This window comes from Homo sapiens, chromosome 16 (genome assembly GCF_000001405.40).
Source record: "Homo sapiens chromosome 16, GRCh38.p14 Primary Assembly".
NCBI classification, from domain to species: Eukaryota; Metazoa; Chordata; class Mammalia; order Primates; family Hominidae; genus Homo; species Homo sapiens.
The window spans coordinates 47,037,030-47,053,868 of record NC_000016.10 but is presented as its reverse complement, the minus strand read 5'-3'; the positions used below and the strand labels follow the sequence as shown (position 1 = coordinate 47,053,868).

The 16,839-nt window shown below is 51.5% G+C and overlaps 5 annotated features.

Annotated features, from left to right (window-relative positions):
• Positions 885 to 1,085: a silencer, noted in NCBI's record as "peak2576 fragment used in MPRA reporter construct". NCBI's record gives its function as "represses an SCP1 promoter by STARR-seq MPRAs in K562 erythroleukemia cells {active_cell/tissue: K562}" and the evidence as "EXISTENCE:reporter gene assay evidence [ECO:0000049][PMID:32103011]".
• Positions 6,795 to 6,844: an enhancer, noted in NCBI's record as "active region_10785". NCBI's record gives its function as "activates an Ori minimal core promoter by ATAC-STARR-seq in GM12878 lymphoblastoid cells {active_cell/tissue: GM12878}" and the evidence as "EXISTENCE:reporter gene assay evidence [ECO:0000049][PMID:35858748]".
• Positions 6,855 to 6,934: an enhancer, noted in NCBI's record as "active region_10784". NCBI's record gives its function as "activates an Ori minimal core promoter by ATAC-STARR-seq in GM12878 lymphoblastoid cells {active_cell/tissue: GM12878}" and the evidence as "EXISTENCE:reporter gene assay evidence [ECO:0000049][PMID:35858748]".
• Positions 15,780 to 16,009: a silencer, noted in NCBI's record as "silent region_7445". NCBI's record gives its function as "represses an Ori minimal core promoter by ATAC-STARR-seq in GM12878 lymphoblastoid cells {active_cell/tissue: GM12878}" and the evidence as "EXISTENCE:reporter gene assay evidence [ECO:0000049][PMID:35858748]".
• Positions 16,020 to 16,209: a silencer, noted in NCBI's record as "silent region_7444". NCBI's record gives its function as "represses an Ori minimal core promoter by ATAC-STARR-seq in GM12878 lymphoblastoid cells {active_cell/tissue: GM12878}" and the evidence as "EXISTENCE:reporter gene assay evidence [ECO:0000049][PMID:35858748]".

Below are 16,839 nucleotides of genomic sequence, written 5' to 3'. Positions count from 1 at the left end.
CCAGCCAGGTATGGTGGCTCGTGCCTGTAATCCCAGTACTTTGGGAAGCCAAGGCAGGTGGATCACCTGAGGTCAAGAGTTTGAGACCAGCCTGGCCAACATGGTGAAACCCTGTCACTGCTAAAAATACCAAAAAGTTAGTGGTGCGTGGTGGGATCCAAGCTACTCGGGAGGCTGAAGCAGGAAAATTGCTTGAACCCAGGAGGTGGAGGTTGCAGTGAGCCAAGATCGTGGCCACTGCACTCCAGCCTGGGCAATGCAGCGAGACTCTGTCTCAAAAAAATAAATAAATAAAAATAAAGGCAGCATGTGTCTGTGAGAAGGGGGTGGCCAGCTCTGCAAGCAGAGGAGAGGGCAACCAGTGCCAGAGACAGACCAGAACAGTGTCCAGCAGAGCAAGTGGCCCTGTCTCAGTTCATTAAAAGAAGAAATGCTTGACCTAACGGGTTCCGGAGGAAGGCAGGACCACACTGGGAGAAGACCACCACTTCCCAGGGCACAAGTCACTGGAATCCCTAACCGACCTCCGTCACGTGTGCCCACCATGAACCCAGGCCTGCCATGTCATTGGCCAGCAAGGAAAGAGGGCTGGTCAGGCCATACAGATCTCTGGTCTACCCGGCAGTATTCATTTTCACGGGTGATCTCTCGGTGAGTAGATATTCTGCCTCTGTCTCTGAGGGTTCTGGAGGTGTGCATTGGCCTTCCTGAGTCTGAGATGCTGACCAGGTAGAGACTGTGAGCCTGGGGCTGAGGGTTGGACCAGGGACTGTGGTGAACCCACCAGGGGAAAAACTGCTATCTGGATTCAGCCTCTCCCCTCAGTGTCTGCGAGTACTTTCCACCAGAAACTTCTACACAAAGCGGGTGCTGGGTATTGGATGGATAAGTGGACAGACAGACACACAGGCAAACAGAAGTGTTACTGCAAGTTGAAGCCTCCTGTCTGGCCCCTAAAGCTGAGCTTTTTCCACCATGTGTGCCATCTCTTCAGCCTTTTCCTCTCTCCCTGCTAGGACTGGCTCAAGGCCAGGACCTGGGGCTGCTCACAAAGTTCTTGCTGGCTGTTTTTTTTGTTTTGTTTTGTTTTGTTTTGTTTTGTTTTGTTTTGTTTTTTCTAGAGACAGTGTCTTGCTATGTTGCCCAGAGTGCAATGGCACAATCACAGCTCACTATAGCCTCCAACTCCTGGGCTCAAGCGATCTTCCCACCTCACCCTCCAGAGTAGCTGGGATGACAGGCATGTGCTGTCCCACAACTGGCTAACATTTTTTTTTTTTTTTGAGACGGAGTCTCACTCTGTTGACCAGGCTGGAGTGCAGTGGCGCGATCTCCGCTCACTGCAAGCTCCACCTCCCAGGTTCATGCCATTCTACTGCCTCAGCCTCCCAAGTAGCTGGAACTAAAGGCACCCACCACCACACCCGGCTAATTTTTTGTATTTTTAATAGAGACGGGGGTTTCACCACATTAGCCAGGATGGTCTCGATCTCCTGACCTCATGATCTGCCGGCCTAGGCCTCCCAAAGTATTGAGGTTACAGGCGTGAGCCACCGTGCCTGGCCAACATTTTTATTTTTTTGTGGAGATGGGTTCTTGCTACATTGCCCAGACTGGTCTTGGACTCCTGGGTTCAAGCGATTCTCCCACCTCAGCCTCCCAAAATGTTGGGATTACAGGTGTAAGCCACCATGCCCGGCCTCTTGCTAACCATTTAAGCTGGAGTCCAGCAGCAGGGACAGATGCAGTAAGCTTCATACAGTGGGGAAAGAGTCCCTGTCCTCACTGGGGAGGGTCCTGGCCTTACCCCTTTCCAGCTGTAGTACTTACCACTTAGAATGGGATAGAAGGTGGGGAGTGGTGGCTCACACATATAATCCCAGCACTTTGGGAGGCCGAGGCAGGCAGATCACGAGGTCAGGAGATCGAGACCATCCTGGCTACTGCGGTGAAACCCCGTCTCTACTAAAAATACAAAAAATTAGCCCGGTGTGGTGGCAGGTGCGTGTAGTCCCAGCTACTCAGGAGGCTGAGGCAGGAGAATGGCGTGAACCCAGGAGGCAGAGGTTGCAGTGAGCCGAGATCACGCCACTGCACTCCAGCCCGGACAACAGAGTGAGACTCCATCTCAAAAAAAAAAAAAAGGATAGAGTCGGGGACAAATTTCCGAGGGCAGTGTCCAACTGAAGGCCACATTCCACAGGCCACCCTTTTCTGGTGTCGTCCGTGGCTTCGTGACACCAGGAGATAGACGTTTTGTAGAAGATGATTTGTTTTTTTTTTTAGAAACAGTGTGAAGTCTCTACCAAGCTCTGGGCATCAGCTGGTCACATGTCGAGGAGAGGCACACAGTGCGGGCCACTCCTACCCATGGCAGTTCTCAGCATGTGCCTCGATGACCTCCACCCAGAGAAAAGCCTGGCCCAGGACCAGACAGGAGAAAATCAAATAGTGCAGTGCATGCTCCAGGGGCCTGCCCATCATGGAGTTCCAGGCCCTTCCTCATCCTCCTTCATCGTTCATGGGACTGCTCTAGCAGGGCAGAAGGAGCTGGGCCTTTGAAGTTCAGAGACCTCGGTTCGAGCCCAAGCCAGGGCTGTTGGGTGCAGTTGTGTGCCTTGTGCCCCACGTCTGTCTCGCAGGGTTCACCTGCCAGCTGTGCACCTACCTGCAGGGCTGGGTTTCCCCGAAGGTGCCAGATGGGCTACTGGGGGTCCATCAAGGCCCTGCCGTGACTCGCCTATGTGAGTTTGGGAAAGTCATGGCATCTTCACGCCTTGGTTTTCTCGCCTGTGACCTAGGAGTATGGTGATATTTGTTCCACCCTCCTTGCAGGTGTGTATGTGGTTCAGCCACATGTAAGACTTTGTGAACCACAGAGACCTTGGCCTGTGGACAGAAGGCACAACTCCCAGGCTGTCCTCGTAGTTGCGGCCTAAGCTCTCCACATGTCAGAGCCCGCTCCTGGCCTTCTCCTGGGACCTGGCCGTCCTCTAGGACTCTTTCCCCCTTTGTCATCTGCTCCTCCTTCATCCAGTTATTTTGCCTTCAAGACCTCTTCTCAGTTGCTGATACATTTTCTTTATTGATTTTTAAAACCATTATTGTAAAGATAACCAATGGTCTTGATTTGAACAAAAATTGAAGAGGTCTTGGAGGCAGAAGAGGAAAAGGAGAGGTTTCCCTTCCCATCAGCCACATCCTCCAGATGGCAGCTGGGGCCTCTCCATCCTACATCTTCAGCCCCGCATCCTAGAAGCCAGCTCCTTGTTCTCCCGAACAGCCCAGGACTCGACACACAGACCTGCCCAAGTGCCCCGCCACCCCACTCACGGAAATGAGCTTGCACGTACACCCTTAAGCAAGTAACGTCAACCTCACTGAAATGTTCATAGGGAAGGAAAGAGTTCACGGTGCACACCCCTCACCAAATAACATCCACCCTGTCCCTTGGTCATCTGTGGGCAGCAAGGTCAATACCCCCACCTGCTGGGGGAGGGAGGGAGGCTGCCACCCACATCCCACTTCCAAAGGGCTGGTTTAGGGGTGGAGTGAGGGTGGGGGCTCCCAGCTGGTGGTGCCTTCCAGAGAAGGAGCTGACTGGGGTGGGTTGACAGCTTTTTCTGATGTGTCAATAAATCACAAATCACTGCCTGAATCACCAGAACCAACTGTCACTTTATAAATTCCAATCCACAGAAACCCATTGCCCCTTCCCCAGCGCATTCCCTTCCTAAGGCAGCTGCCAAACATAAAGCCCTGGTTCTGGGCATCCCACATGCCTCTGCGAGTCTTTGGCAGCTCGAGTGGGTGCTGGGGTGGGCGTGGGGGAGAGAGTGCGGTGCTTTCTGGGTCTTTAGAGGAGATCAACCAGTGGCCAGGAGGTCTGGCTTCTGGTCCCAGCTGAGTCCTGACTTACAGTGGGACCTTGGGCGAATCCCTTTCCCTCTGTTGGCCTGCTGCCTCTAACCAGCATTTACTGAGCTCACTGAGTGCTGCAATTGACTTGTAATATGTCTTTGAGTCCTAACAATCATTCCATAAGGCAGTTACTCGCTATTACTGTCGTCTTTTTTTGTGATGGATTTAGAAGCCTCAAACATGCAGAGGTTGAAGAACGCGCCTAAAGGTCCTAAGGCTAGCAGTGGGCAGAGCCGTGGTCTCCAACCATAGCCCTGCATGCGCAGCTGCCCATGCACTGGGCTGGGGGATTCTTTGGCGCAGTGGGAGCCTGTAACCTTTCTGCAAGGGATTTGGGGGATGGAGAGGAGACACAAATCATGGAAAGCACACTTTGGATTCCTGATCACTTAGGGAGGCCCTCAGGGTGAGTGGGGAGAAGGCAGGGGATGTCTCCACCCTGATTCCTGGAGTGAGAGCCTCCAGGGATTCCAAGTCCTGCCCAGGGCAAAGGCCAGGGGCCACTTCATGGACACCTTTGCCTCTCGAACCCCGCCAACCACAAGGTGACCATGGACTCCTCTCCCTCAAAAAATCAAGGCCCCACATGGCTGGCTCGGGCAGTCCTGCCCAGAACACAGGGGTGGCATGAATAAGCCCTGTGCCACACTGGTGCTGTGATTTGGGGGTTCAGAGAGGGTGTAGTCTCAGTACTATTTGCCCTTCACTGGGGCTCCTCTGCAGCGGGCATTGAGAACCAGGGGCCTTCCCTGGCTGCCGCAATCCCTGCAGAGACCCACAAGGAGGAGAGTCCCGGGAGGCCCTGGAAGCCTTGGTGGAGAGGGGACAAGACTCCAGTCCCTGCCACGTCATGCTTCCCAGGGACCCCAGCCAAGGTCCTAGGTTACAACTCATGGTTTCAAGAGACAGAGACCTGAATCCAACCAACTCAAGTAAAGGGGGCTTATTCAGAGGATACCGGGGCTGGTCACCACTGGGGTGCCTCAGGGACAACTGGAATAAAGGACTCAAACACCACAGGATGCTGCCTGTCCCTGCGCTCCCCATCTCTGAAGCTGCCTTCCTGCTGCTGCCTGGCCTCCTGTGCAGGGGAAGAGCAGGGCTGCCATGGCTCCAGCCATCGCCAGAGGGATATTGCCTCCCTTGCCTTAGCACCAGCCTAACGCATCCCAGACAGAGGCTGTGGTTGGCCAAACAGAGACCAGTAGCCCATTCCTGGCCCAATCAGCTTTGGCAAGGGGACAAGGCCATATGTCAGAAGCAGACCCGCCAGGCTTACCTGCATCCAGATCGATCCCAGAGAAGGAGACGCTCTGGGGACCAGGAAGCCACTCCAACTGGGGTCTGTTGGAGCCTCTCTGAGCCTTCATTTCCTCACCAGTGAATTGAAGTGATATTTGGCCAGCTCAGTGGCTCACGACTATAATCCCAGTGCTCTGGGGAGCAGAGGAAGGAGGATTGCTTGAGGCCAAGAGTTTGAGACAAGCCTGGCAACATAGTGAGATTCCATCTCCACAAAAATACAAAAAATAATTAGTTGGGCATGTGGTGCCGCTTGTAGTCCCAGCTACTCAGGAGGTTGCGGTGCAAGAATCGCTTGAACCCAGGAGTTTGAGGCTGCAGTGAGCCTTGATTGCAGCACTGCGCTCCAGCCTGGGTGACAGAGCAAGACACTGTCTCAAAACAAAACAAAACAAAGCAAAAAGGTGATAGGTACCTTCTTCATGGGCAACTGTGTGTTATTGATGAGATGGTGCATGCAGAAAGAGTGTTTGGTGGCTGAAAGGACTTGACAAAGATTAGCTTTGGATTATTGCAGCTGTTGATGGTGTTGCTAATCGAAGGACTTGCTCTGCCAAGGACTCCAGCAAGGACTGAGGTTCCTGCTATGCAGACTGTGGGTAGAGGCTTAGTGCTCCCGAGCCCTGCTTCTCCCATGGTCCCCCAGTGGCCTCCTGAGTGGGCCATGGCCCTGAGCTCAGAGGGCACCAGGACCCTCCCCAGGCCGGCTGAAGAGGCAGATTCCAGAACAGCCTCCTCCCCAGCTGGGAACACCTCCCCAGATCTCAGTTCCCTTGCCTATCAGATGGAGGACATCAGATCTGCTTTCCTCTTCTGCAGTGGTGAGGAACAAGCAAGAAGACATGAGTGGAAGGAAAAACTGATGTGTCTTATTAGCAGTTTATTGTTGTTATTAATTATCAGCTCCAGAAAACTGCTGGGATTACAAGCCTGTGTTTTCTCACATCTCTCTAAAGGCCATTACCACGAGGGGAGCCAGCAGACTTAATTTGTGAATGCTAGCTACTAAATTATGCAAAACCAGATCTGCTAATGAATTTCTCCCATGGTGGCGGCTGGTGCTGAGGAGTTTGCAGGTACACTTCTTGGAGAGAGGGGTGGAAAGGGGCCTGGGTATTCACTGTTCCACCTCCACACTCAGAACTCACCTGCCTTCACCCACCCCTGGGACAAAGGCTGCCTAAAATGTGAATTCCCAGCTGGGAGAGGCATCAAGATGGCTGAATAGATTATTTGGTCATTCAAAGTGGTTTTTGTTTTTTTCAGTTTGAATAGACTCAAATAGCTTGTCTCAGAAGGAAGAAAAAGGCTGCTGTTGAATTGAATGTAAGCCTGCAAATGACTTCTCTTTCTCTCTCTCTGCTCTATTTCCGAAAGCTATTTATAGATTAGAAGCCTGTCATTGCAAATTAGGGACATTTTCTTCCTCCCCCATCCTCTACTACTCCAGCCCCAGCTCCTTGAGGGCGGTGGTCACTGGGCAAGCCCAGCATCAGCACTGTGCAACGGGCAGCCTGTGCACATCCCCTTCTGAAGACAGCTGCCCCCTGCTTCCACTCCTGACTGTGAGCTCCTCTAGGAGAGGGGCTGGGTCCGCATGTCCAGGACCAGGCTAAGGCTGGACACAGGGTAGGCCTCATCACATCTGTGAGATGGGTGCTTCAAGGACAAGCTCAGAAACCTGCCCTGACTTATCAAGGCCAGAGAAGTTGATTCATCAGAAGGCTCCAGGCAGCTCACAGATGAAAAAGTGGGCTGTGTGGACTTTCCCAGCCTGGAGGAGGGCAGGAGTCAGGCCAGCCTGGAAACCTGGCGGCAGGAGCAGGACTTTCAGGGTCCAAATCCTCTCCAGGTGTTCTATGCCCAGTGGTTCAAATCCCACGGGGCCACACTCACTATGTAATCTCGGACACGTTTCTTAACCTCTCTGGGATTGATTTATCCTGTGTAATCGGGATCACAAAGCCTTCCTCCCCATCTCCCCATACCCAGGTGTAAGCCTGCTGCAGTCATGCTGTTCTTTGAAAAAAAAAAAAATTTTTTGAGACAGAGTCTCACTCTGTCACCCAGGCTAGAGTGCAGTGGCGTGCTCTCAGCTCACTGCAACCTCTGCCTCCCAGGTTCAAGTGAGACTCATGCCTCAACCTCCCGACTAGCTGGGATCACAGGCATGTGCCACCATGCCCCGCTAATTTTTGTATTTTTATTAGAGACGGGGTTTCACCATGCTGGCCAGGCTGGTCTCTAACACCTAACCTCAAGTGATCCACGATCCACCTGCCTTGGCCTCCCAAAGTCCTGGGATTACATGCGTGAGCCACCGCTCCCGGCCTATTCTTGAAATTTAAATGAAACTGGCAGGGACCTCAGATCCCTTGTCAATGGAAAACTGATATCCCTGTGCCCCAAGATTTCTGCGAATCCTTGGAGATTACATCCAGCCTCACTCAAATTTTTTTTTGCATTTCTGTTGAGCAACTAGATGATCCAGGCCAACCACAGTGGTTCATGCCTGTAATCCCAGCACTTTGGGATGCCAAGGCAGGTGAATCATTTGAGCCTAGGAGTTCAAGACCAGCCTGAGCAACATGGTGAAACACCTTCTCTACAAAAAGTACAAAACTTAGCTAGGCATGGTGGCATGCACCTGCAGTCACAGGTACTAGGGAGGCTGAGGTAGGAGGATCACCAGAACCTGGGGAGGTTGAGGCTGCAGTGAGCTGTGATCATGCCACTGCACTCCAGCAGACAGAGTGGGTGACAGAGTGAAGCCCTGAAGGAAAAAAAAGAAAGAGAAAGAGAGAAAGAAAGAGGTAGGGAGAAAGAGAGAGAGAGAGAGATAAAAGAGGTGGGGGGGGGAGAGAGAGAGAGAAATAAGAGAAGAAGGAGAGGAGAGGAGAGGAGGGGAGGGGAGGGGAGGGGAGAGGAAAGGGAAATTTACTTCCTAAATGGGCACCCTTCTTTAGAAGTGCCAACCACTAAAATAACAATTTTTTCACACTCAGTAAATGCAGATCAGATAAGTGCTTTGAAAACCACAAAGTACGGCCAGCATAGGAAGGTTATTAAACCCGTTCCTCTTAGTCCCATTACGGACAGCACTTCCTGGAAGGCATCTAAATGCTCTCTGCTCCAGCACTGTTGGCCTTGTAAGAGAACAGGAGCCTGTGGAATTTTCTGAAACAATCCTTTCAGGCTCCAAAGAACCCACTCCCATTATCTTGAATTAAATCCATTCCAACCATTGCCTTCCACTTTTTAAATTTTTGTTGGAAAATAATTTACATACAGAAAAGTACATCATTAACATTCACACCCGGTTCAAGACACAGAGCACACTCAGCTCCCAGAAACTTCCCTTCCAGTCACTCGCTGTCTCCAAAGCTGACCTCTAACGGCCGACATGCATGCCTGCTTCTGTATCTGTGAATGGAGTCCTACCATAGATGCTTTGCACTCAGCTTCTCCCACCCCACAAGACATTTGCAGGATTCAATCACGTGGTCGTATGTAGTTTAGATAATCATTCTCATTGTTTCATCAACGTCTCTCCTGTGGAAATAATTGTTTTTCATCTACTGTTGATGAGCATTTGGGTAGTTTCCAGTCTGGCTATCGTGACTAGCACTGCCTTGGACATTCTAGTCCATGTTTCTTTGGCACACATAGGGCTGTGTTTCTGTTGGGTATCTGCCTAGGAGTACAATTTTTGGTTCGTAGGGTAGTCATGTATTCTTTTTTTTTTTTTTTTTTTGAGACAGAATCTTGCTCTGTCACCCAGGCTCACCGCAGCCTTGAAATCATGGGCCTTGAAATCATGGGTGTCAGTGATCCTCTCCTCTTAGCCTCCTAAGTAGCTGGAACCACAGGCATGTGCTAACATGCCTGGCTAATTTTTTATTTTTATTTTTATTTTTTTGTAGAGATGAGGTCTCACTATGTTGCCCAGGCTGGTCTCAAACTCCTGAGCTAAAGCAATCCTTCTGTGTTGGCCTCGCAAAGTGCTAGGATTACAGATGTGAGCCACTAAGCCTGGCTGTGTTAATCTTTAATAGAACAAGTGCCAAATGGTTTTCATCCCATCTTTTCTTTCTTTCATGTTTTATTTATTTATTTTTGAGACAGGGTCTTGTTCTGTTGCCCAGCCTGAAGTGCAGTGGTGCAATCATGACTCACTGCAGCCTCGGCCTCCTAGGATCAACTGATCCTCCCATCTCAGCCTCCCGAGTAGCTGAGATTACAAGTGCACATCAGCATGCCTGGCTAATTTTTGTATTTTTTTTTTGTAGAAACAGGGTTTCACTATGTTGTCCAGACTAGTCTCGAACTCCTGGCCTCAATCCTTCCTGGCCTCAGCCTCCCAAAGTGCTGGGATTATAGGTGTGAGCCACCGTGCCCGGCCCGGCTTTACCCTTTCTTTAGAGTGTTTACTCTCAGATCACCTTCTGCAGGGAAGCGATGTTAAGTGGCTTGTTCCAGGCCACATGCCCAGCAGTGGTAGAGCTGAGATTTGAGCTTATGCAGGCTCCCTCTCAGAGTCTGTACTATTAATTGCCAGGCTACACTGCCTCCCTGTTTCTGAGAAGAGTCTAATGTACCATATAAAGTTGTGTGCAGTGAAAACCTCCTGAAAAGGAGCCCTGAGCTTAGGGCTCCTTAGGGGTTGTGTGGAATATTTTATTTTTATTTATTTATTTATTTATTTTTGAGAGTGTCTCGCTCTGTCACGCGGGCTGAAGTGCAGTGGCGCCATCTGGGCTCACTGCAACCTCTGCCTCCCAGGTTCAAGTGATTCTCGTGCCTCAGCCTCCTGAGTAGCTGGGATTAACAGGCATGTACCACCACACCCAGCTAATTTTAGTATTTTTAGTAGAGACAGGGTTTTGCCATGTTGCCCAGGCTGGTCTCAACTCCTGGAGCAATCTATCTGCCTTGGCCTCCCAAAGTGCTGGGATTACAGGCCTGAGCTGCCGTGCCCAGCCGGGGAGCAGAATATTTTATAATGGGCAGTGGGCACATCTGCTTTTCGCTCCAGGAGGAAACATTAACACTCACCTCTAAGGTTGTTTGTTGTACAAACATCCTAGAAAGATCACCTAGAACCAAGGCACCCTCTGCTCACGAGATGTGCAGACATGTGAGGCCCATGGAGGATTGTCTCCTAACAGCTGCCCCAGCCTGGACTTTGGGCTGCAGCCACATCTAACATCTGCTGCCTCCATCACCAGCAGAGATGCCGCGGCTGCCTACAGAGCCAGAGGGAAGGGAGACTGTCGTGCCATCTGGAGGCAGCCCATGAGCAGCTATGGGGCCAGTCGCCACCAGGCCTGTGGGCCCTGGAAAGACTATGGGCTTTGGCAGGGCGCGGTGGCTCATGCCTGTAATCCCAGCACTTTAAGAGGCCAAGGGCAGATCACCTGAGGTCAAAAGTTCAAGACCAGCTTCGCCAGCATGGTGAAACCCCATCTCTACTAAAAATACAAAAATTAGCTGGGTGTGGTGGCACATGCCTGTAATCCCAGCTACTTGGGAGGCTGAGGCAGAAGAATTGCTTGAACCTAGCAGGTGGAGGTTGCAGTGAACAGAGATCGCGCCACTGCACTCCAGCCTGGGCAACAGAGCGAGACTCTGTTTCAGAAAAAAAAAAAAAAAAACAAGACTGTGGGTTCTGAGGGCACCAGCTGCTCCCATCCAGGGCCACACCCAGGCCTCCAGGAAATAGCCATTGTCCCCTCTGCCCTCTGCCTCCCCCTGAGGTATCCTCTGCCTCTTCTGGACCTTCTCTTTCTCGCTTTATTCTCTCTTCATTGCTTTGCCTTTCCTGCTGGCTTTTTGCAGATCTCTCTCTCTCTCTTCCTCTCTTGATGATTTTATCTCTGGGGCTGTATGCAAACTTTAGAAAACAAACTAAACACATGCACACCACGCATATGAGAAAAGAAGAAAGCGAGGATCACCCACAATCCCCCCACCCAGAAATAACCACAGTGAACATTTTGGTCAGCATCTCCCCAAAGGTTTCTCTTTTTTTTTTTTTTTTTTTTTTTTTTTGAGACAGAGTCTCGCTGTTGCCAGGGCTGGAATGCTGTGGCGCGATCTCGGCTCGCTGCAAGCTCCACCTCCTAGGTTCACGCCATTCTCCTGCCTCAGCTTCCTGAGTAGCTGGGACTACAGGCACCCACCACCATGCCCGGCTAATTTTTTGTATTTTTAGTAGAGACAGGGTTTCATCGTGTTGGTCAGGATGGTCTCGATCTCCTGACCTCGTGATCCGCCCACGTCAGCCTGCCAAAGTGCTGGGATTACAGGCGTGAGCCACTGCGCCCAGCCCAAAGGTTTCTCTATAGACATAGCCACATATGTCACATATCCACACATATCAACATACTCACCACAAAACTGGGATCCCATGTAGACAGAGCTCACGCTTCCTGAGCTACTCCGGAGAAGAGGAGGCCTGTGGAGGCCACAGGGCCGGGGAAGACTTTCTTCCCCTTGAGAAAGAAAATGAGAGAGAACTTGGGACCACTGCTAGCTGCATGGAGCCTTGATCTTCCAGGACACCAAACCAGCCTGTGTCCCCTCTCCCAGCTCATCCCTGCCAGCAGGGTCAGGGAGAAGGTTTAGCTGTGAGGGTCCTCGGGATAGCGACGGAGGCAGGACCACATCTGCTCCCCTCAGCCTTGAGCAGGCTTCCAGGAGGAGGTGAGACCTCCGTGCACATGGCAGGGTCTCCATGGATTGTGGAGCAGAAGACTGACGGGAGTGTGTGGGCGGGGTGGAGGGATACATGTCTGTATGAGTGTGACCACACACTCACACAGACCTCCATCTTCAGTCCAGCAACCACTGAGGGAGGGAGCGGTCCTGCCACAGCCGCACAGCCACTTTTCTTTTTTTTTTTTTTTTTGAGACAGAGTCTTGCTCTGTCGCCCAAGCTAGAGTGCAGTGGCACAGTCTCAGCTCACTGCAACCTCGCCCTCCCGAGTTCAAGCAATTCTTATGCCTCAGCCTCCCGAGTAGCTAGGACTACAGGTATGTACCACACCAGCTAATTTTTGTATTTTTTGATAGAGATGGGGTTTCACTATGTTGGCCAGGCTAGTCTCAAACTCCTGACCTCAAGTGATCCACTCACCTCGGCCTCCCAAAGTGCTGGGATTACAGGTGTGTGCCACCGCACCCAGCCTTAATTTTTGTATTTTTAGTAGAGATGGGGTTTCATCATGTTGGCCAAGCTGGTCTCGAACTCCTGTCCTCAAGTGATCTGCCCGCCTCAGCCTCTCAAAGTGCTGGGATTACAGGTGTGAGCCCACATGCCCAGCCCCCTTTCCTTGGACTCAAACCTACCCCAACTCCCATTCTTGGATGTGCCTTAATCCTCAATCCCACCCCAGGTTGAGCTGAGAGGGCAGCCTGAGGCTGGAGGGGCTGGGAAGGATTCATGGGTTTGGTGGGAAACATTTAGGTGGTTTATAAATTTTCACTATTACAAATAATGCGCTTCCAAGGTTTTCATTGTTTTATTTTATTTTACTTTACTTTATTTTTAGAGACAGGGTCTTGCTCTGTCACCCAGGCTGGAGTGCAGTGGTGCAATCATAGCTCACTGCAGCCTTGAACTATTGGGCTTAAGCCAACCTCCCACCTCAGCCTCTTGAACAGCTAGGACTATAGGTGCACACCACCATGCCGGGCTAATATTTTTTTAAATTTATTGTAGAGACGGGGGTCTAACTGTGTTGCCCAGGCCGGTCTCAAACTTCTGGACTCAAGTGATCCTTCTGCCTCAGCCTCCCAAAGTGCTGGGATTACAGGCATGAGCCACTGTGCCCAGCCTCCAAGATGTTTAAAGCACCATACTTGTTACAAGAAATTCAGACAATAACCAAGTTCATAGAATTACATCAGAAATTCTCCCTGAACCCACCCCGACTTCAGTTCCACTCTCCACAGAAAAGTGACCACTGAAAATAGGTTAGCATCCTCTTAGAGTTATTCTTGGACATAGACAAAAATATGAGCCCATATGAAATTGTGTTTTTTTTAATCACACACAGATACTTCTTTTTCTCACTCACTCAACAAGCCTTCATGGGCCTTTTCCAAGCCAGTGCGTAGAGAGCGGCCTCATCAATATGAAGGTTTGCTCTGAGAGGAGAACCAAGTCAGCCTAAGACGTTTTGGCCTTTCCACAAACATTTGCAAACACCTGCAATGCTGGGCAGGCTCTGGAGGCAGAGAGACCTGGGCTCAGAGCCCACCTCCACGCTCCACAGCCATGTGATCTTGAGGAGGTCACCCTCCTGCCTGAGTACCTACCTTGGGTGCTATTGTGAAGGTGAAGTAATAATCTGTATGGGAGGCTTGGCAGAGCATCCAGCTCAGAGAGGGCCCTAAATGATGGAAACTGTGACTGTTACCTCCAAAATGAGCCAGCCACAAGCATAGCTGCATAGCCTTCCATGGGCCGCCGCCTTTTCACCCTGCTGAAGAACACGGAGCTTGTTTCCAGTTTTAACCGTTTGCTCTTTTATTCAACAAACAAGGTCACTTCCTCCTGCTATGTTTTTCAACTCACTACATGTGAAGCATTTGTTGGGAAAGAAGCCATATTGACCCCCATGCTACTAAGCCACCTTGGGCAGCGCTTGGTGTCTCTGAACCTTGCTTCCTGTCTGTAAAATGGAGGAAAATTCAATTAATCCTGTCTCTGCACCTGGCCAAGGTTTCCTGGAGGACAAATTAGAAAGTGGCTGTAAAAATGCTTTGCAAAATCTGAAGCAGTGTAGACACATGAGGGAATGTTATGTGGACAGGACTATGGCCCTGCTAGATTCTATCCTCTTGGGAGGGCAGACACTGGGGACTCGGTAATACTTGCCGAATAATGAATGAATCTTCTCATCTGAAAAATAAGGAAATCAAAGGCCCGGTGTCTCTGGAACGTTTAACAAGGGAAGAGGAGAAGGAGGAAAGGCAGAGCCCACCCTGACTGTGTTCCTCTTGTCTTTTCTCCTCCCACCCTTCTTCCTTCCTTCCTTTCTTTTATTCAACACATATTCTCTCCCCTGGTTTTTTGTTTTGTTTTGTTTTGTTTTGTTTGAGACAGGGTCTCACTCTGTTGCCCAGGCTGGAGTGCAGTGGAGCCATCTCGGCTTAGTGCAACCTCTGCCTTCTGGATCTGCGTCATGCGATCCTCCCTCCTCAGCCTCAAGAGTAGTTGGGACCATGAGCAGGCACCACCACACCCAGGTAATTGTTTTGATTTTTAGTGGAGAAGGGGGGTGCTCACTATGTTGCCCAGGCTGTTCTCAAACTCCTGAGCTCAAGTAATCCCTCCATCTTGGCCTCCCGAAGTGCTGGGATTACAGGAGTGAGCCACCTCCCCTGTTTTTTAAGGGGAGGAAAGAGAGTGGTGAAAGGGGAGGAAAGAGAGGGCAACAGCTCCTCATTTTGCACACCTCACGGTTTACAAACACAGTCACATGATGAGTGGATTTTCTCATTGGACCACTGAGGTACACTCGCCTGTAGTTCCAGCACTTTGGAGGCTGAAGCGGGAGGATGGCTTTAGCCCAGGAGTTCAGGACCAGCCTGGGCAACATAGTGAGACCTCGTCCCTATATAAATGTAATTTTATGTATGTATATATTTTTAAATAGTAATGAAGTATGTCCCAAATACTTCATGGTACATACTTACACCAAAAGTTTTTTTGGCCGGGCACAGTGGCTCACGCCTGTAATCCCTGCACTTTGGGAGGCTGAGGCAGATGGATCACTTGATGTCAGGAGTTCAAGACCCGCCTGGCCAACATGGCGAAACCCTGTCTCTACTAAAAATACAAAAATTAACTGGATGTGGTGGTGCACGCCTGTAATCCCAGCTACTCGGGAGGCTGAGGCAGGACTTGAACCCGGGAGGTGGAGTTTGCAGTGAGCCAAGACTGCGCCACTGCACTCCAGCCTGGGGGGCAGAGCAAGACTCCGTTTCAAAAATAAAATAAAATAAATAAAAAAATTTATTGTCTATTTGAAATTTGAATTTCACTTTGACATCCTCTTTTTTGGCGGGGGGGACAGTCTCACTCTGTCCTCAAGCTGTCGTGCAGTAGCACGATCTGGGCTCACAGCAGCCTCAAACTCCTGGACTCAAAACGATCCTCCCGCTGAGGGAAAATGTACTCCCATTTGACAGACGTCGAAACTGAGGCCTGGAAGAAGTTATGCAATCTCTCTGAGTCACGCATTACATCTGAAATCCTGCGCGTCCTTCGCCAGCTTTCTCTGTCTCTCTGCCGTCCTGTCCCCTCTAGACCAACCATCAGTTAATAGTCTGAATGTCTGGAAGGACAGGGCTCTGAGTGCCTCCCTTCCTTGGGGCCGTGCACTCTCTCTCCGACCAGCGATTTGTCACGGGTCTCGTGAGAGGAGCCGGGTGGGAACGGCCGCGTCCCCGCTCCCGCCCTCCCTCCCTTGCTTCCTGGACGCCGCTGGGAGTCGGGCCTCGCGGTGGATGGCACTATCGAGACCCCTCTCACCAGAAACACGCGGCCCGTTCTCGCGTGGGGCTTTGGTGGAGACCCTCGACGCCAAGGCGGGGGCTTGTCCTCGGTTTTCCCTCCTCCTCCCGCCCCGCGGGGAGCTCGGCCCTCCTCCTGCGGGGGGGGAAGCCATTTCCCGAACCCGCGCGCCCTCTGGCGGCCTGAGCCGGTGCAGAAGCCAGGCTGTGTTGACTCCGCCCGCGAGCACCCTGCCTGGGGACCGCGCGCCGCGGGGCAGCTTCCTATCTTCGCCTCGGAGGGACACAGCTTGCCTGGGCGCAGCCCCCCGGCGCGGTCCTCGCGGCCTCCCCGGCGCCCTCCCGCGGGGTCCTCCCAGCCGCCGCCTCCGGAGCCCCCCGCCTCCCTGTGTTCCCGGCCGCGTGACGCCTCCCACCGTGGAACGGGGCAGCTGCGGGACGTGTTCCTCTCCCCACTGGACTCAGATTCTTCCAGGGGAGATCCCGCCAGAGGCGCATCCCCGGAGTCTCCTCCCCGGAGCCTCATCCCCAGAGAAGAGTCTGGCACGGGGCCGCCTTCGCTGTGGGCTGTCGGCCACTTCTGAAGAAGGTGCAAGTGAACCGCAGATAAACCAGCGAAGGCGCCACCCGAGGGCCTGGAGTGCGGAGGGAGTCCCCCCTGAGGGCTGCTGAGGGGTTGCCTCGAGAAATACAGGGCGACCCACCCAAATCTGAATTTCAGATAGACAGCAAGTACTTTTTTTAGTGTAAGTATGTCCCGGCCGGGCGCGGTGGTGCACGCCTGTGGTCCCAGCACTTTGGAGGCCAAGGCGGGAGGATTGCTTGAGCCCAGGAGTCTCAGGACCAGCCTGGGCAACATGGTGAGACCTCATCTCTATAGAAATTTAATTTTACATATGTATATATTTCTAAATAGTAATGAAGTATGTCTCAAATACTGCATGGTACATACTTACACTAAAATTTTTCCATTGTTTATCTGAAATTTGAATTTAACTTTAACTGACAGCCTCCTTTTTTTTTTTCATACAGGGTCTCACTCTGTCACCAGGCTGTGGTGCAGTGGCACTATCTTGGCTCACTGCAGACTCA